Source organism: Homo sapiens, chromosome X (assembly GCF_000001405.40).
Source record: "Homo sapiens chromosome X, GRCh38.p14 Primary Assembly".
Lineage (NCBI taxonomy): Eukaryota > Metazoa > Chordata > Mammalia > Primates > Hominidae > Homo > Homo sapiens.
The window spans coordinates 154,487,271-154,505,409 of NC_000023.11; the positions used below are offsets into that span (position 1 = coordinate 154,487,271).

General features: G+C 50.2%; 1 protein-coding gene and 1 pseudogene across 11 annotated transcripts, besides 1 other annotated feature; both read right to left on the reverse strand.

Annotated features, from left to right (window-relative positions):
• Positions 41 to 3,359, reverse strand: SLC10A3 (solute carrier family 10 member 3). 11 transcript variants are annotated; one of them, NM_001142391.3, is made up of 4 exons: positions 3,324 to 3,359; positions 3,037 to 3,088; positions 1,314 to 1,812; positions 41 to 1,226 (listed from the first exon to the last, which is right to left on the reverse strand). In NM_001142391.3, exons 3-4 carry the CDS (start codon positions 1,668 to 1,670, stop codon positions 237 to 239), a joined length of 1,347 nt encoding a protein of 448 aa, NP_001135863.1. In that variant the 5' UTR covers positions 1,671 to 1,812; positions 3,037 to 3,088; positions 3,324 to 3,359; the 3' UTR covers positions 41 to 236. The 11 variants fall into 11 exon arrangements, with proteins under 11 accessions (NP_001135863.1, XP_047298515.1, NP_001135864.1 ...); XM_047442559.1 differs by having other exon boundaries at positions 2,672 to 3,088; NM_001142392.3 differs by having other exon boundaries at positions 41 to 1,812.
• Positions 3,082 to 3,591: a silencer, noted in NCBI's record as "silent region_21112". NCBI's record gives its function as "represses an Ori minimal core promoter by ATAC-STARR-seq in GM12878 lymphoblastoid cells {active_cell/tissue: GM12878}" and the evidence as "EXISTENCE:reporter gene assay evidence [ECO:0000049][PMID:35858748]".
• RN7SL697P (RNA, 7SL, cytoplasmic 697, pseudogene) lies at positions 8,545 to 8,843 on the reverse strand (annotated as a pseudogene).

An 18,139-nucleotide genomic window follows, 5' to 3' on the forward strand; every position in this document is an offset into this window, starting at 1 on the left:
GCCCAGGCCCCAAAGGGCAAAGAGTAGAAGGGACCCAAGCTTGCTTCTCTCTTTTATTGAAATATATTTTCTGGGCAGCGCCCACCTACCTAACTCAGCATGGCCTCTTTGGCACTGAAAGCTGGAGAATAAAAAATCAGTAAAAAAAATAAGCCTGGATTTTTCTGAGTGCATAGTGCATGAGAACTTTGGTGGAGTGTGGGGGCTGGGGCTGATGAAAGCTTGACCCAGAGGCCTCAGGGAACTGGGAACAGGCTGCTGTAGATGAAGTGGCCAATGACCAAGGCCAGCATCTCGGAGGTGCCGCTCAGCGCCACAATGAAGGGGGCCTGGGAGGCATAGTCAGCTTGAAGGCGGCGGAGGGATAGCTGCAGCATGGCCAAGGCCAGCAGGCTGTTCTGCACCCCTACCTCAATGCTGACCGTCCGCCGCTGGGCCACTGGCAGCTTCAGACACGTGGCTAGGCAGTAGCCCACCAACAGGCCAACCAGGGGCACCGTGATACCCACCAGTACGATGGGTAGCCGGATGCCTGCCAGGATGAAGACCCCCATGCGATAGGCCAGGAAGAGGCCGCCCAGGAGGAGCACAAAGCTGAAGGGCTTGACGACCTGCAGCAGCAGCTGGGAGAACTTGGGGAGCTTGGACTTGATCAGCACGCCCACGGCTATGGGGATGGCAATGAACAGCAGGGTCCCCAGGATCTTGGAGATGGGCACGTGGAGCGTCTCATGGATGCTGAGCAGGCGGCTGTAGATGGCCGAAGACAGAGGCAAGAAGCCAGTGGCAGCCACCGTAGAGAGGAAAGTCATGGAGATGGCCAGGGTGACGTCCCCTCCAAGAAGGAGGCTGAAGAGGTAGCTCCCCCCGCCGCCAGGCGACGAGCAGGTGATGATGAGGCCCAGAGCCAGGGCCTTGGGCAGCATGAAGACCTTGGCCATGAGGAAAGCGTACAAGGGCATGACCAGAAACTGGCCCAGGAGGCCCAGCAGCATGGGCTGGGGGCTCTGCATGAGCCCCTTCAGAACCTCGAGTTCCACTTTGCACCCAAACGAACACTTGTTGACAAAGATAAGAGGCAGGAGCAGGTAGAGGATTGGGTTTTCCGAGAAGTGGGCCAGGTCGGCGCTGAGGGTGGCAGGCGTGTCTTCAGCAGGTGAGACCTTGATGCAGAAGTCTCTCCGCTCCTCAATCAGTGTGGGCGGGGCCTCATGGGCGTCCACGAGCTGGATGTGGAGTGGGGCCAGCCCAGCCAGGCCTGAGTGGATGCTCACCACAAAGCCACCCCCGCCTCCCCAGGTTATAGCACTCACGTTCTTGATGGTCAGCACCTCTGTGTCCAGGGAGGTGACCCTGAGCATGGGGCCAGGCGCCGTCCTGTTGGCCTGGCCTGGGTACTGGCTGGAGATCACGATGATGCCCTCACTGTCCTCAGGAAACTCAAACTCCATCACAGAGCCATCTCCAATGCTCAAGTAGCGGCCCCCAGTCGGTGGCACGGTGTGACCCCCAGCAGTGCTGAGGCTGGTGCTGGCTGTCCCTTGGGCCCCCCATGGCAGGCTGATGAGCAGCAGGGCAGCTCTGAGCATGCTTAAGGGACCTGTGCCACCACCCTCGCCCCCCAGACCAGGCCACTGCTGAGAGCTGCCCTTGTCCTGCATTAACACCATGGCTCTTCCTGGAGGACGGATGGCGTGCCCAGGCCCTCTGCGGCTTAGGAGAACATCCCCACTGGTGCTGTTGGGTTGTCCTGAGAAGGGTTCATGGGTGGGTCCCAGTCCTGTGCTGTCTTCCTTGATGGCAGGGCTGTCCCTGAGGAGGTAAGGGACACAGAGAGGCAGCTGGTGAGGGTCACTTACCCTGGAGGCCTTGGTCCAGCCATGTGTCTTACCTCTGAAGAGGGAGGCAGTCAAGAACCCAGGAGCATGGGGATCTGGAAGCCCACTGCTAAGAGTAAAACTCAGCAGGGACCCTTGCCCCACACTCAGGAATGGAGAGGCAATGCCTAGTGATGGCCCTTGAGTGCCATTCAGCTGTGGCTCCCTGGCCCACTCTACCTGCCCCTACAGTGACTCGATGAAGGTCCTGCTGGGAAGCAGGTCCTCCCTCCCCAGGGAAGTTGCCAGAAGGGGCGGCAGGAGTGGATCAGACAGAGCCACATGTCTACTGGGGGGGTTTCTCCTCCTTTTGTCAGAGCTCCCACTGGGCTGAGACTTTGACCTCCCAGAGCCACTGCGTTACATCTGAGAGGCTGTGCTCAGAGTGCAGGGCTCCTTCCCATGCCCACATGCGCCCCTACCAGAGCCTCAAACTCAGTGGAATTATGAGTGTTTCTAGCGGCCAGCAACACCCCCTTCCACTTCTCAATCTGGGCAGCGACCACCGTAGTGTCACATCACCTGCTAGAACTGGGGCAACCAGGATGGAGACACAACAGCTTTACATCACCCCTGTCAGTTGCCTCATGCACTGTTGTGTCCCAGTCCTAGAAGAGGACTGCCTCTATAGATCCTATCCGTCTTTGGCATTGGCCTCCCGTCATCTGAGACTGGGGTGAGGCAGAAGTAGGGAGCAGAGGTTAGGTTAAGCCAAAGGCTCATCCCGGCGAGCCTCCCCTATCCCTAGCTTAGGATGACATGGCCTCTGCTGGCTTGAAGTTCGGGTCACTTACCCTGGAGGCCTTGGTCCAGCCATGTGTCTTACCTCTGAAGAGGGAGGCAGGAAAACCAGTGGGGTGGGAGAGGCAAAGTACAGGAGCTAAGATGAAGGCACCAGGACTGAAGCCACCGGGGTGATACAAACCAGCTCAGAAGGGAAAGGCTAGGGGCCATCCACCCCATGCCCCATCCCTCCAGTAGGGCTGGCGGCTCTGAGTCACTCCAAGAGGGGTTTGGCCCAGATCCCACACCATTTCTGCTTGAGGGGCCGACAGAGTTTGAGCAGATGCACCCACAAGGCAGGGGAGGGAGTCCCGGCCCTTCCAAAACGGCCAAGTGTTCGGGGTAACTGGCAGTGCTAACAGGGGCTCCTCCCTACCTGGGAGTCCGGAAGTTGTCGGACGGGTGGCTAGCAGAGCTCGGGCGCGAACCTGGGAGGGAGGAAAGGAAGGGCACGCCGCCGTCCCACAGCCGGCGACCCGCTCGGGCCGTCTCGGAGTCTGGGGGGGCCCCTTACGCCATTCCTGGGCCCCGCGGCCCCGCCAGGCCTCGCAAACGCGCGGCGGCGGCGGCGGCCCTTCCCTGCCAGGCCCGGCCGGGCGCCCGAGTGGGCGATCGCGGAGCAGGGTCGGGGCCAGAGGCCGCCTCCCTTCCGGAGGCTCTCACCTGCCACAGCCACCGCGCAGCTTAGCTGCAGCGTCTGCCTGGCCGGCAGTCGCCCGCGAGCTCGGCCTGTCAGGGCCCCGCCCCACCGAAGCCCCTCCCTTCCCCGCCCCGCGCGTCAGGGCCCCGCCCCCCCCTCAGCGTCCAGCTCAACTCCGGCTGCTCGCTGGGCTCCGACCGGTTGTGACGTCTCTGGGAGTGACGCGCCGGCGCGGGCGCGGTGCGGGTGAGCTGGTCGGCGCTTGGCGCTGCCTGGACCAATCGCTTGGCAGCGCATCTGAAGCTGTTGTGATCGCTGGGGCGACCCGCTCTGGGAGGGAGCCCCAGGCATTCCCGATTACGCTGCGACCTCTAAAGGCAATGGGACAGAGGGTTAGACGTTAGCAGGGCTGGGTGCCCGGGGTTAGGGTTTTGGCCACGTTGCCGCTCAAGGTGCCCAGCCCTGGGGCCCCAGGGTTGAGTTTGACCGACCTGGACGCCAGGCTCTGTGCGGAGTTCCTCCTTTCGTTCAAGTATTGACCGAGCGCCTATTTCTATTTTATGTATTTATTTTCTGAGACTGAGTCTTGCTCTGTCACCCAGCCCGGAGTGCAGTGGCGCGATCTCGGCTCACTGCAACCTCCGCCTCCCTGCAACCTCCGCCTCCCGGGTTCAATCCATTCTCCTCTCTAAGCCTCCCGCGTAGCTAAGATTACAGGCGTCCGCCCCCGCGCCCGGCTAATTTTTGTATTTTTAGTAGAGACGGGGTTTCACCATGTTGGCCAGGTAGGTCTCGAACTCCTGACCTCGTGAGCCACCCGCCTCGGCCTCGCAAAGTTCTGGGATTACAGGCGTGAGCCACTGCGCCCGGCGTAGGCCAGTTTCTATACTGTGGAACATTAAGTGGACTTGTCTGCTTTTCCAAACTTTGGCGCCACTAGCAAGGTGCAGAGGCTTTGTGGTAAAGGAAGAGAAAGAAGGCAGAAAGTTGGGGAAAAATATGATGGGAATGTGTAGAAAGAAGGTCGGAAGGCAGTACAGAAGACAGTACAGAGTTGGGGGGGGGGGGATCATATGTTCCCAAAGCTTATTGGTGCAACTGGAATCAATCTGCACACTTCAACCTCTTGTCAAGACTGTGATGGAGTCGGAGGTATTTGCCCCGGGTAGGTGCACAAGACGCATGGTTGCAGATGTGGAAACAGAACAGAACAAAACCACCCACGTCTCTAATGTTTCAAATGAATGATATACATTTGTTTTTATTACTTATTTATTTATTTTTGAGACAGGGTCTCGCTCTGTCGCCTAGGCTGGAGTGCAGTGGCACAAGCTCGGCTGACTGCAACCTCCGCCTCCCGGATTCAAGCGATTCTCCTGCCTCAGCCTCCTGAGTAGCTGGGATTACAGGCGTGCGCCACTACCACCCGGCTAATTTTTATATTTTTTAGTAGAGACAGGGTTTGCCATGTTGGCCAGGCTGGTCTCAAATTCGTGACCTCAAACGATCCACCCGCCTCAGCCTCCCTAAGTGCTGGGATTACAGGTGTGAGCCACCGTGCCCAGCCAAATAATATACTTTTAATAAATTTATTGACATTTAAATTTATTTTAAAACTTTATTTATTTATTTAGAGACAGGGTCTCGCTCTGTTACCCAGGCTGGAATGCAGTAGTGCCATCATAATCACTGCAGCCTCGAACCCCTGGGCTCAAGCGATCTTCCCACCTCAGTATCCCAAGTAGCTGGGACTACAGGAGCATGCCACCATGCCCAGCTTAAAAAGTTTTTTTGGCCGGGTGCGGTGGCTAATGCCTGTAATCCTAGCACTTTGGGAGGCCGAGGCGGGCGGATCACGAGGTCAGGAGATTGAGACCATCCTGGCTAACACGGTGAGACCCCGTCTCTACTAAAAATACAAACAAATTAGCCGGGCGTGGTGGTGGGCGCCTGTAGTCCCAGCTATTTGGGAGGCTGAGGCAGGACAATCTCTTGAACCCCGGGTGGGGGGAGGTTGCAGTGAGCCGAGATCGCGCCACTCTCCTCCAGCCTGGGCAACAGAGTGAGACTCCCATCTCAAAAAAAAAAAAATTGATTTTTGTGTGTGTTTTACAAAGTTCAAGTTAGTATGTGCGTATAATATGAGCAAATATACATATGCTGAGGGTTGTTACAAGGGTTTGATGTGTGGATGATCAAAAACATTTGCAGCCATAGCTCTCAGCCATTGTTTAGCCTCCAGGGATCACTAAGGCAGAAGCGATTTGTGTGTTTGTACTTGGTGTTCTGGAAAGGTTGTTCTGTCCCTTTCAAATGGGGTTGAAGGGTCCTGATGGAAGTAGACAGTATTTAGACTAGGACAGGTGAAAGGGCTGGACTAGGCACATGCTGGGGCTGAAGATTGCAATTTGGAAAACGGCAGTGAGGGTAGGGATTGTCTGAGGATGGGGTAAAATTGGCCAGAGGGAGAAAGGAGTCAGCTGGAAAAGCCAAAGAAGGAAAACCCAAAAAGTTGTGTCCTTCTTGAAGGAAAAGGGAATTTTTGTATTCCACTTGCCTGTGCTGTTGGGCCTGCCTGACACTGTCAGTAAAATTCACCTGGAACTAGCCACTTGGCAGCCACCAATTCTTGTTTTTGCCAGGTGTCAAGGAGAGCAAATGCAGTCAGAAGACTGCTGTCTGTTATTGTCAATCACTTCAGCCTTCCCTGAAAAGCCCAAGTGGGCAGGTGGGATATCTGACATGAAGAATTTGGTGGCTTTGTCTGCAGGAAAAGGGAATAGCAAAATTAAAGGCAAGACAATGTTCCTAGTTGGTTTAGGGAATCAGTAATTTACCCCAGGGTGCGGGTGGCTCACGCCTGTTATCTCAGCACTTTGGGAGACCGAGGCGGGTGGATCACTTGAGCTCAGGAGTTCAAGACCAGCCTGGGCAACATGGCAAAACCCCATCTCTACAAAAAATACAAAAATTAGCCTGGCGTGGTGGCATGCGCCTGTACTCCCAGCTACTCGGAAGGCTGACGTGGGAGGGTCGCTTGAACCCCGGGAGATGGAGGCTGCAGTGAGCTGAGATGGCACCACTGCACTCCAGCCTGGGCAACAAAGTGAGACCTTGACTCAAAATAATAATAATAATAATAGTAATAATAATAATAATTTACCCTAGAAGAGAAGGAGGAAGAGGTGAGGATATCTAGTGCCCAAAGAGAAGTCATCTGGACCGAACAAACAGATGGAACAAATGATAGCAACAGCTGAAACAACATCAACACATTTCAGATGGGAGGCCTGCCAGGTATTATGTAATAAGGTCACAGTGGTGACCCTGAGAGGCATGCCTACCTCTGCTCTTGAGGCAGGGGCCTCTAGAAACAGGATTTTTTTTTTTTTTTTTTGAGACAGAGTCTCACTCTATCGCCCGGGCTGGAGTGCAGTGGCACAGTCTTGGCTCACTGCAACCTCTGCCTCCCGGGTTCAAGTGATTCTCCTACCTCAGCCTCCCAAGTAGCTGGGATTACAGGTATGTACCACCACACCCAGCTAATTTTTGTATTTTTAGTAGAGGTGGGGTTTCACCATGTTGGCCAGGCTGGTCTCAAACTCCTGACCTCAGGTGATCCACCCACCTCGACCTCCCAAAGTGCTGGGATTACAGGCATAAGCCACCGTGCCTGGCCCAGAAACAGTATTTGATAAATAAAGAGGCCAGGTGAGGTGGCTCATACCTGTAATCCCAGCATTTTGGGAGGCTGAGGAGGGAAGATTGCTTGAGCCCAGGAGTTTGAGACCAGCCCGGGCATCATGGGAAGACCCTATTTCTACATAAACAGATTTTTAAAAAAATTTAAAAAGGCATGGAAGGCATATGCTAGTGTAAGTATGAGGTACATTGAGTATCCACAGGGAAGTGTAATGACACCTGTCACTTTTGCCTGCCCAGCATCAGGTTGCAGCACCTTAGTTTTCTCTGGGGGAACCATCCCTCCTCCACTCTCAGTACACATGGTTTGCATGTGGATGACCCCAACGCTGGGCCCTGGAGTGGGCACATAACCAGGTATAACCAGCCAGCCACTCAGAGTGGGCAGACATCATGCCATAATCCAGTCTGGACCAGTGAGGGTTAGTCCCCAGGAACTTGTACTGAAGTATTGGGAATGCCATCCTAAGTCACAGAGAGGGAGACTAAAAGAAAATGGTATTTATTTGGAATGGGTACTGCAATGGGAATGTGTGTGCCATAGTAAACTGTGTATATTCAGGGAGGCGAAGGGAGAAAAAGGGTTTTGTTGTTGTTGTTTTTTAAGGTAGGGTCTCACTCTGTTGCCCAGGGTGGAGTGCAGTGGTGTGATACTGGCTAACTGCAGCCTTCACCTCCTGGACTCGGGTGACCCTTCCACTTCAGCCCCCTCGAGTAGCTGGGACTACAGGCATGTGCCACCATGCCTGGCTAATTTTTTTGCATTTTTTGTAGAGATGGGGTTTAACCATGTTGCCTTACACTGGTCCCAAACTCCTGGGCTTAAGCAATTCTCCTGTCTCGGCCTTCCAAAGTGCTGGGATTACAAACATGAGCCATTGCAGCAGGCTGACAAAGGTGTTTTTTGTTTGTTTGTTTGTTTGTTTGTCTGTTTGTTTGTTTTTGAGATGGAGTTTGGCTCTTGTTGCCCAGGCTGGAGTGCAATGGCGCGATCTCAGCTCACTGCACCCTCCGCCTCCTGGATTCAAGCGATTCTCCTGCCTCAGCCTCCTGAGTGGCTGGGATTACGGGCACCCGCCACCACGCCCGGCTGATTTTGTATTTTTAGTAGAGACGGGGTTTCACTATGTTGGTCAGACTGGTCTTGAACTCCCGACCTCAGGTGATCCGCCTTCCTCAGCCTCCCAAAGTGCTGGGATTACAGGTGTGAACCACTGTGCCCGGCTGAGAAAAGTTTTTAAAGAAAAAATGAGAATTACATAATTGTTTTCAGGTAATTATTCTTGGCTACAAGGATTAATAACAAAGGTGGCATCAGTCCAAATTTGGACAAGCAGCTGCTGGGTAGATGTGTTCACAGAAGTATTTTCTGTGTGTAAGGTGATGAGACTGCAAAAACTATATCACTCTGGTGATGATAGCCGTTGTACAGGGTTATAGTTTTTGCAGTCTCATGATGGGTTTTGCTATCAGGCATCACACATGAGAACCTTCCCTTCATGGCCTTCCCCAGCTCCGGTTTTCGGGTTTGTTTTTTTTTTTTAAGGTGGGGTCTTGCTATGTGACCCTGGCTGGAAGTGCAGTGGCTTTTCACGGAGCGATCCTACTACTGATCAGCATGGGAGTTTTTATTTGCTCTGTTTCTGAGCTGGGCTGGTTCACTCTTCCTTAGGAAACCTGGTGGTCTCCTGCTCCCAGGAGATTACCATATTGATGCTGAGTTTAGTGAAGACACCAGATCAGAATAGCATACCACAGCCCAGAAATCCTGGGCTCAAGTGGTCCTCCTGCCTCAGCCTCCCCAGTAGCTAGGAATACAGGTGTGTACTACCATGCCTGGCTAATTTTTAAAAATTTTTCGTAGAGACAGGGTCTCCCTATGTTGCTCAGGCTCATCTCGAACTCCTAGGCTCAAGGGATCCTCCCATGACAGCCTCCCAAAGTGCTAGACTACAGGGGTGAGCCACCGCACCTGGCTAGCATGGAAGTTTTAACCTGCTCCATTTCCAGCCTGGGCTGGTTCATTCCTCCCTAGACAACCTAGTGGTCCTCCATTCCCAGGATACTGATGCTGAGCTTTTTGTGGACACCTGATCGGCCTGGCATACTACAGCCCAGAACTCCTGGGCTCAAACAATTCTCCTGCTGCAGCCTCCTGAGTAGCTAGGACTACAGGCATGTGCCACCACACCTGGCAGGGTTTTTTTTTTTTGTTTTTTTTTTTTTTTTTTTTTTTTTTTTAATGAGACAGAGTCTCACTTTGTCACCCAGGCTGGAGTGCAGTGGTGCGATCTTGGCTCACTGCAACCTCCGTCTCCCAGGTTCCAGCAATTCTCCCACCTCAACCTCCTGAGTAGCTGGGACTACAGGCCTGCATCACCATGCCTGGCTAATTTTTGTATTTTTACTAGAGACAGGGTTTTACCATGTTGGCCAGGATGGTCTCAAACTCCTGACCTCAAGTGATCCACCCACCTCAGCCTCCCAAAGTGCTGGGATTATAGGCGTGAGCCACTGCACCTGTTTTGTTTTTAATACAGGTGACTCCATTTTGCTTCTGGCAACTTTCACATTTCCCCTTTTTGATCGTGATCTTTCTTCAAAAGCAGTAGGTTTGGATTGTCCCTCAGTGCTGGGATGGACCTGTCCTGGGTTGTTGGTCTGGTTCCAGATAAGAGGGAGTGATTGACAACTAAGAGTCAGTGTCAAAACCCCTTTAGGCACATCTGAGCAACAATGGAAATTTGGAGAGAGTTGCACTCAGACTAAGTCTACCTGAAGTCCATCGTTAAATTCTATTTTTTCTGTTCTGTGGTCTTTTGGCCATCATCTGGAAGCCCCGTGCCAGCATACTCTGTTAGCAGCTGTACTTCTGCAGAAGTTTCACAAGTAACAAGTACAAATTGTTAAAAGGAAAATACAAATTAATATTAGTAGTAATATGATACCCCCAGTTTTCATAATAGTTTTGAGCTATGAACCTAGGCTTAAAGGCAATCAAGTGAATAAATCAAATGACCATGGGGAATTAGGTGAGACCCATTATAACCTATGTGACCTGTTATAACCTATGTTTTGTAATTTCGTGTATATGGGGCCTCAAGTTCCCCAGGGGAATTTATCCAGGTTCAGCATGTGCTATTAGCAATAGAACAGATATTTCCTGATTTAACCAATAGATGCTGAAGGATCTCTTAGGTCAGGTTCTGTGAGGTTACTGACAGAAGCTATTGATTGTGCAATTTCAATTACACCATTATCCTGTCAACGAAAAGGCAGACATAAGAAAGGAAAAATTAAGAGTGACAAGATTTTCATTTTGATGGGTGAAGCTCTCAACTTCTTTTTTTTTTGAGATGGAGTCTCGCTCTGTCGCCCAGGCTGGAGTGCAGCAGCATGATCTTGGCTTACTGCAACCTCCAACTCCCAGGTTCAAGCAATTCTCCTGCCTCAGCCTCCCGAGTAGCTGGGATTACAGGTGCGTGCCACCACAGCCAGCTAATTTTTAAAAAATATTTTTGGTAGAGATGGGGTTTCACCATGTTGGCCAGACTGGTCTTGAACTCCTGACCCCAAGTGATCCGCCCGCCTCGGCCTCCCAAAGTGCTGGGATGACAGGCCTGAAGCCACCGAGCCCAGCTGAAGCGCTCAACTTCTTGTTCTGGTTTGCAGTTTGAATGTCTCTGGTTATGGCATCAGGTGGTTTGGAGAACTTCCTGTGTGACCCATACATCAGGCATGAGACTTGTCCCTGGATATTTATACCAAGTTTTCCAGCTTCAGCTTCAAGGCCTTTAGCAACATAACAGGTTTTTTTCTTAGTTGGAGAGTTTTAGCCAAATATTAGAGGAAATTAGGAGGATTTGGGGTCTAGTCCCGTCTTCATGTAGATAAGAAACAATGCAAAGGGCTGCAATCTAATAGCAGGCATATTTTAGTGTTTTTCCTTTAGAAACAACTTTTTCTGGGAGGCCAAGACGGGCGGATCACGAGGTCAGGAGATCGAGACCATCCTGGCTAACACGGTGAAACCCCGTCTCTACTAAAAATACAAAAAAAAAAAAAAAAAAAATAGCCAGGCGTGGTGGCGCGCACCTGTAGTCCCAGCTACAGATTTTTTTTGAGACAGAGTCTCGCTCTGTTGCCCAGGCTGGAGTGCAGTGGTGCAATCTCAGCTCACTGCAACCCCCACCTCCCAGGTTGAAGCAATTCTCATGCTTCCACCTCCCAAGTAGCTGGGATTACAAGCATGAGCCACTGTTTTTGAGACAGGGTCTCACTCTGTTGCCCAGGCTGGAGTGCAGTGGTGCCATCATGGCTCACTACAGTCTCAACCTCCTGGGCTCAAGCAATCCTCTCCTCCTACCTGAGCTCCCTGAGTAGCTGGGCATACAGGTGCGCACTACCACACTGGCTATTTTTTTTTTTTTTTTTTTTTTTTTGTAGAGATGGGGGTCTCCTTATGTTGCCCAGGCTAGTTTTTTTTTTTTTTTTAACTTTTGTACCTTTTGTATTTTTAGTAGAGACTAATTTTTGTATTTTTAGTAGAGATGGGGTTTCACCATGTTGGGCAGGCTGGTCTCAAACTCCTGACCTCGTGATCCGCCCGCCTTGGCCTCCCAAAGTGCTGGGATTACAGGCGTGAAGCACCGCGCCCCGCCTGCCCAGGCTAGTTTTAGAACTCCTGGGCTTAAGTCATCACCTGTCTCAGCCTTCTAAAGTGCTGAGATTACAGGCGTGACTCACTATGCCCACCTAATTACTATATTTTTGATAAAATAATTAATGCTTTTAATTTTTCCCTTTAATTAATTAGATATTTTTCATATATTTTGGTAGAAAATATTACACAGAATGTGAAAACGTACGGACACATGATTACATAGAAACAGATTCCCTAGCTTTCATTTTGAAATTTTTGTCATGAGACAGTACAATATAGTAATATACGCTTGCCAGTTTATAAAAGGACAGTTGGATCCAATTTCTGACAAAATGAGACCCGTTCGTGTGGCTGAGCATTATTTGACCCCATAGGTAATCTTATGAAGGCTGAAGATCAAAATTTTGGGTAAAGCAGCGTCTACAGCAGTTTGATTTAAAATATCTTTTTAAAATCCTTTTATTCCATATCAAATGAGTTTAGAGGTTAAATATTCAAATGTTCACATTTCAGTTAGGACTAGCTGAATTGTATGAGAAAAACAGAATTTCCAGTGGCCAATCTGGTTTGCTTGATTAGTCAGCACAGGTGGAGAGGCACTTTTCAAAAAGATATTTACAGTTGTTTTTTTTCCTCAGCTTTTTCTGGATTGTACATGACAGACAAAGCCAAATTTTTATGCTGGACAGAGATACCTTATGTGATTGCTGTGTGCTCAAGAGTTTGACCTGTTTGATCTGAGAACCTAACTTTCACAAACATTGATCTAGTTCTTTCCTTTTTAGACTATCAATCTTTTAATTAACTGTTCCGTCACCCTAAGCAATTGTCAGCTAGGCAAACCTCCATACATGTTTCTGAAAGGAATGACTCCTAAGTGTACAAGGCTAGGTTTTTGGTTGCCATGGAGCTGTTGTAATTTGAAAGCACCCTTTTTTCTTTTCTTTTTCTTGGCTGAAATGCCCTAAGGAAAAGTTATAAACAGCTTTTGAAATCACCAATGTTAGATTATCTTTTTTTATTCTTATTTTTTTGAGACAAGATCTCACTCCATCGCCCAGGCTAGAGTGCAGTAGTGTGTCACGGCTCAACGCAGCCTTGAACTTCCAGGCTCAAGTGATCCTCCCACCTCAGCCTCCTGAATAGCTGGGACCACAGGTGTGTGCCTCCACGCTAGCTACCTTTTTGTATTTTTAATGTAGGGTTGGGGTCTGATCAGGTTGCCCAGGGTGAAATTATCTTAATACAATTATCTTAATACAAGTGAAGAAGCTGGCTGGGCACGGTGGCCACGCCTGTAATTCTAGCACTTTGAGAGGCCAAGATGAGTGGATCATGTGAGCTCAGGAGATAGAGACCAGCCTGAACAACATGATGAAACCCCATCTCTACAAAAATTAGCCAGGCGTGGTGGCAGGTGCCTGTGTTCCCAACTCCTTGGGAGGCTGAGGTGGGAGGATCGCTTGAGCCCAGGAGGTTGAGGCTGCAGTGAGCTGAGACTGCACCACTGCACTCCAGCCTGGGTGGCAGAGTGAGACCCTGTCTCAAAAAAAAAAAAAAAAAAAAAGAAGAAAAAGGCCAGGTGCGGTGGTTCACACCTGTAATCCCAGCACTTTGGGAGGCCGAGGCAGGCAGATCATGAGGTCAGGAGATCGAGACCATCCTGGCCAACATGATAAAATACAAAAAATTAGCCAGGCATGGTGGCGCATGCCTGTAGTCCCAGCTACTCGGGACGCTAAGGCAGTGGAATTCCTTGAACCCGGGAGGCAGAGGTTGCCGAGATCGTGCCAGCCTGGTGACAGAGCAAGACTCCGCCTCAAAAAAAAAAAAAAGAAGAAGAAGAAGAAAAAGCCAACAGAGTCAGCAGAGAGGAGGAAGAAAAGAAAAGCAGATAGAGAAGTTAGGCGCCTCTACATACCAGTGTTTTAGTTTTATTTATTTAATTTTATTTTTTATTTTAATTTTATTTTTTTGAAACAGGGTCTCACTCTGTTTCCCAGGCTGGCCTTGAATTCCTGGGCTCAAATAATCCTCCTGTCTTGGCCTCCAAAAGTGCTGGGATAACAGGCATGAGCCACCGTGCCCAGCCCCAATTCCTTTTAAAGGTGATTTTGTTTCGGGTCTCACTTATTTTTTTTTTCTTTTCTTTTCTTTTTTCTTTCTTTCTTTCTTTTTTTTTTTTCTGAGACAGCCTTGACCCCTGGGCTCAAGCCATCCTCCCACCTCAGCCTCCCTAGTAGCTGGGACTACAGGTGTGCACCACCACACCTGGCTAATTAATTTTTTTTTTTTTTTTTAGAGACAGGGTCTTGCTGTGTTGCCCAGGATGGTGTCAAATTCCTGGGCTCAAGTGATCCTCCTGCCTTGGACTCTCAAGTGCTGGGATGACAGGTGTGAGCCACCACGCCCAGCTGTAGGTCCCACTTCTGACTCTAGTTATGTCATCCTAAATAACAGGCTCTCTGAGAGAAAATGATATTTATTCTGGAATGCGTTGCAGTGGGAATGCATGTGCCATGGTAAACTGTATGGTAAACTGTGTGCATATACAGGGAGGCAAAAGAAGGCAAAGGTTTTTCAAGGAAAAGTGAAGAGGATCACCTAATTGTTTTGAGAGAATTCTCCTTGGCTACAAGGATCGATAACAAGGGTGACCTCAGTATGAGGTTGGACAGGGTTAGGGTTAAGTTGCTCAGCTGGGTGCGGTGACTCACGCCTATAATCCTAGCACTTTGGGAGGCTGAGGCGGGTGGATCACCTGAGGTCAGGAGTTCAAGAGCAGCCTGGCCAACAAGGTAAAACCCTGTCTCTACTAAAAACACAAAAATGAGCCAGGCGTGGTAGCGCATGCCTGTGATCCCAGCTACTCAGGAGGCTGAGGCAGGAGAATCGCTTGAACCTAGGAGGCGGAGGTTGTGGTGAGCCAAGATTGTGCCACTATACTCCAGCCTGGGTGACTGATCCAGACTCCGTTTCAGAAAAAAAAAAAAAAAAAAGTCAGCCGGGCACGGTAGCTCACGCCTTTAATCCCAGCACTTTGGGAGGCTGAGGCAGGTGGATCACTTGAAGTCAGGAGTTCAAGACCAGCCTGGCCAACATGGTGAAACCGTGTCTCTACTAAAAATACAAAAATTAGCTGGGTGTGGTGGTGCACACCTGCAATCCCAGCTACTTGGGAGGCTGAGGCAGAATCGCTTGAACCCAGGAGGCGGAGGTTGCAGTGAGCCGAGATTGCGCCACTGCGCTTCAGCCTGGGTAACAAGAGCGAAACTCCGTCTCAAAAAGTTGCTGGGCAGATGTCCTTGCAGTATTTTTTTTCTGTGGAAAGCTGTGGTTTCTGCATTTGCAGCCTTCCCCAGCTCTGTTTTTTGTTTTTTAACACAAGTGACTCCATTTTGATTCTGACAACTGTCATGGCAAGGAAGGCTGCCATGTTGGAAAATGAAGCCAATACAGAGAGAAAAACAAAGCCAAGAGGTGGAGAGAGCCCAAGTCCCTTGGGCTTCGGGGTCCATTACAGGAACAATGCATTCTGCCATCCTCCCTTTTTTTTTTTTTTTTTTTTTGCTTATGCCAGTTTGAGTTTGAATTCTGGCATTGTAAGTGAGGACATCCTAACTCCTAAAGGGCAGGCCCAGGGGGCGATACCCCTGGCAAAACAGGACCGTGGGATATGTCAAGCTTACCTCCTCTTTGGGAAGTCAGGCAGGCTGTGCTCCATGCCATCAGCTTCCTAGCCTGTGTTGGGCTGTGACACTGGTGACCCCAGTGAGGGTGCAGCCCCATGAAGAGGTAGAGGCTGTCACTGTGGCTCACTACGGTGTTCCTGGACCAGTTCAGGCACTTGGTGAATGTTTAGTGAACAAATGAGCTGAAGGAACAAATGGAGGAAGGCTGGGCAATCACAGCAGTTGCTGGAGAAGTGTCGGGGAGCCCAAGCCCCTCCCAGCCTGGCAGTATAGACACTCCGTGAGTTTCCGTTTCATTTAGGGGCAAGCTAGTAACCTCGTGGAATTGTACTTATCTGGCTTGTAGTCTTGCTACACCGGGAACTCTCCTATCCCCACTAGGGACCTTTACTTTTTTGTACAGTGGGGACAATGGCCACACTTACTGGCTAGGGTTGTGGTGAGGTGTTACCTATGGTATAACTGAGGTATTGATGCAAGAAGGAAGTTGAGATTTGTATCAACATATGGGACCATGTGGGTACAGATGAGACAGCACTGGTCACATGTCGATCACTAGAGGGATGAGCACATCAGAGTTGATGACAGTCATCTGTTGGTATCCGATAGGTATTTGTTCCAGGGCACCCTATAGCTGCCAAAGTCCAGGGATGCTCAAGTCCCTGATATAAAATGGATACATTATAGTTATACATATTTATTCCCATAGATTTTTTTTTCTTTTGAGATGGAGTCTCGCTCTGTCACCCAGGCTGGAGGGCAGTGGTGCAATCTCAGCTCACTGTAAGCTCCGCCTCCCGGGTTCAAGCGATTCTCCTGCTTCAGCCTCCCGAGTAACTGGGACTACAGGCGCCCGCCACCATGCTCAGCTAATTTTTCGTATTTTTAGTAGAGACGGGGTTTCACCGTGTTAGCCAGGATGGTCTTGATCTCCTGACCTCTTGATCTCCTGACCTTGTGATCCGCCCACCTCGGCCTCTCAAAGTGCTGGGATTACAGGCGTGAGCCACTGTGCGCCCAGCCCTTTTTTCTTTTTTTTTGAGACGGTGTGTCACTCTGTCGTCCAGGCTGGAGTGCAGTGGCGTGATCTCGGCTCACTGCAACCTCCACCTCCCAGGTTCAAGTGATTCTGCCTCAGCCTCCCGAGTAGCTGGGATCACAGGCATGCGCCAGCACGCCTGGCTAATTTTTGTGTTTTTAGTAGAGACAGGGTTTTACCATGTTGGCTAGGCTGGTCTGAAACTCCCGACTTCAGATTATCTGCCCACCTCGGTCTCCCAAAGTGCTGGGATTACAGGTGTGAGCCACCGTGCGCGGCCTGATTTTTTTTTTTTTTTTTTTTTGAGACAAAGTCTCGCTCTGTCACCCTGGCTGGAGTGCAGTGGCACAATCACGGCTCACTGCAGCCTCAACCTCCTGGACTGCAGCAATCTGCCTGCTTCAACCTCCGTAAGTGCTGGGATTACAGACATGAGCCACCAAGCCTGGTCCCATAGAATCTAAACCATCTTGAGATTATTTATCATGCTTAATACAATGTAAATGCTCTGCAAATAACAATTACACTGTATTGTGTGTGTGTGTTTTTTTTTTGATAGGATCTCACTCTGTTGCCCAGGCTGAAGTGCAGTGGTGTGATCTTGGCTCACTGCATCCTTGACCTCCTGGGCTCAAGTAATCCTGTCTCAGTCTCTCAAGTAGCTGGGACTACAGATGTGTGTCACCACGACTGGCTAATTTTATTTTTTTGTAGAGATGGGGTCTCGCTATTTTGCCTAGGCTGGTCTTGAATGCTTGGGCTCAAGTGATCTGCCCACTTTGGCCTCCCGAAGGCTGGGTTATAGGGCATGAGCCACCGTGCCAGCCTACACTGTATTTTTTTTTTTTTTTTTAAGACGAAGTTTTGCTTTTGTTGCCCAGGCTGGAGTGCAATGGCACAATCTTGGCTCACTGCAACTTCTGCCTCCTGAGTTCAAGTGATTCTCCTGCCTCGGCCTCCCAAGTAGCTGGGATTATAGGCGCCCGCCACCACGCCTGGCTAATTTTTTTTTTTTTTGAGACGGGAGTCACGCTCTGTCACCCAGGCTGGAGTGCAGTCATGTGATCTCAGCTCACTGCAAGCTCCGCCTCCCGGGTTCACGCCATTCTCCTGCCTCAGCCTCCCGAGTAGCTGGGACTACAGGCGCCCGCCACCACGCCCGGCTAATTTTTTGTATTTCTTAGTAGAGACGAGGTTTCACCATGTTAGCCAGGATGGTCTCGATCTCCTGACCTCGTGATCCACCTGCCTTGGCCTCCCAAAGTGCTGGGATTATAGGCGTGAGCCACCACGCCCGGCCACTGTATTGTTTTTTACTTGTACTATTTTTTATTCTTGTATTTTTATTTTTTCCAAGTATTTCCAATCTGTGGTTGGTTGAATCTGTGGACATGGAACCCCCATGGATATGAAGGGCCGATTGTATGCTAGTCTGTCTCCTGGAGATGTTTGCAATTTTCCATAGCAAGTCTAAAGAGTGAAGTGTGTATGATCCTGCAGTGGATCCATCATTACACATTTTTGTCCAAACCCACTGAACGTCCAACAGCAAACTGAAGCCTCATGTGAGCACCGATACTGGTTCATTGACAGCAACAGATGGGAAGCTGGGGGCTGGCAGGGGGCACACAGGAACTCTGACCTTTTCACTCAGTTTTGCTGTGAACCTAAAATGGCTCTAAGAAGGAAAGTTTACAAAAACAAAAAAGGAATGGAATACACGTAGAAAGTTCCTGGTGCAGA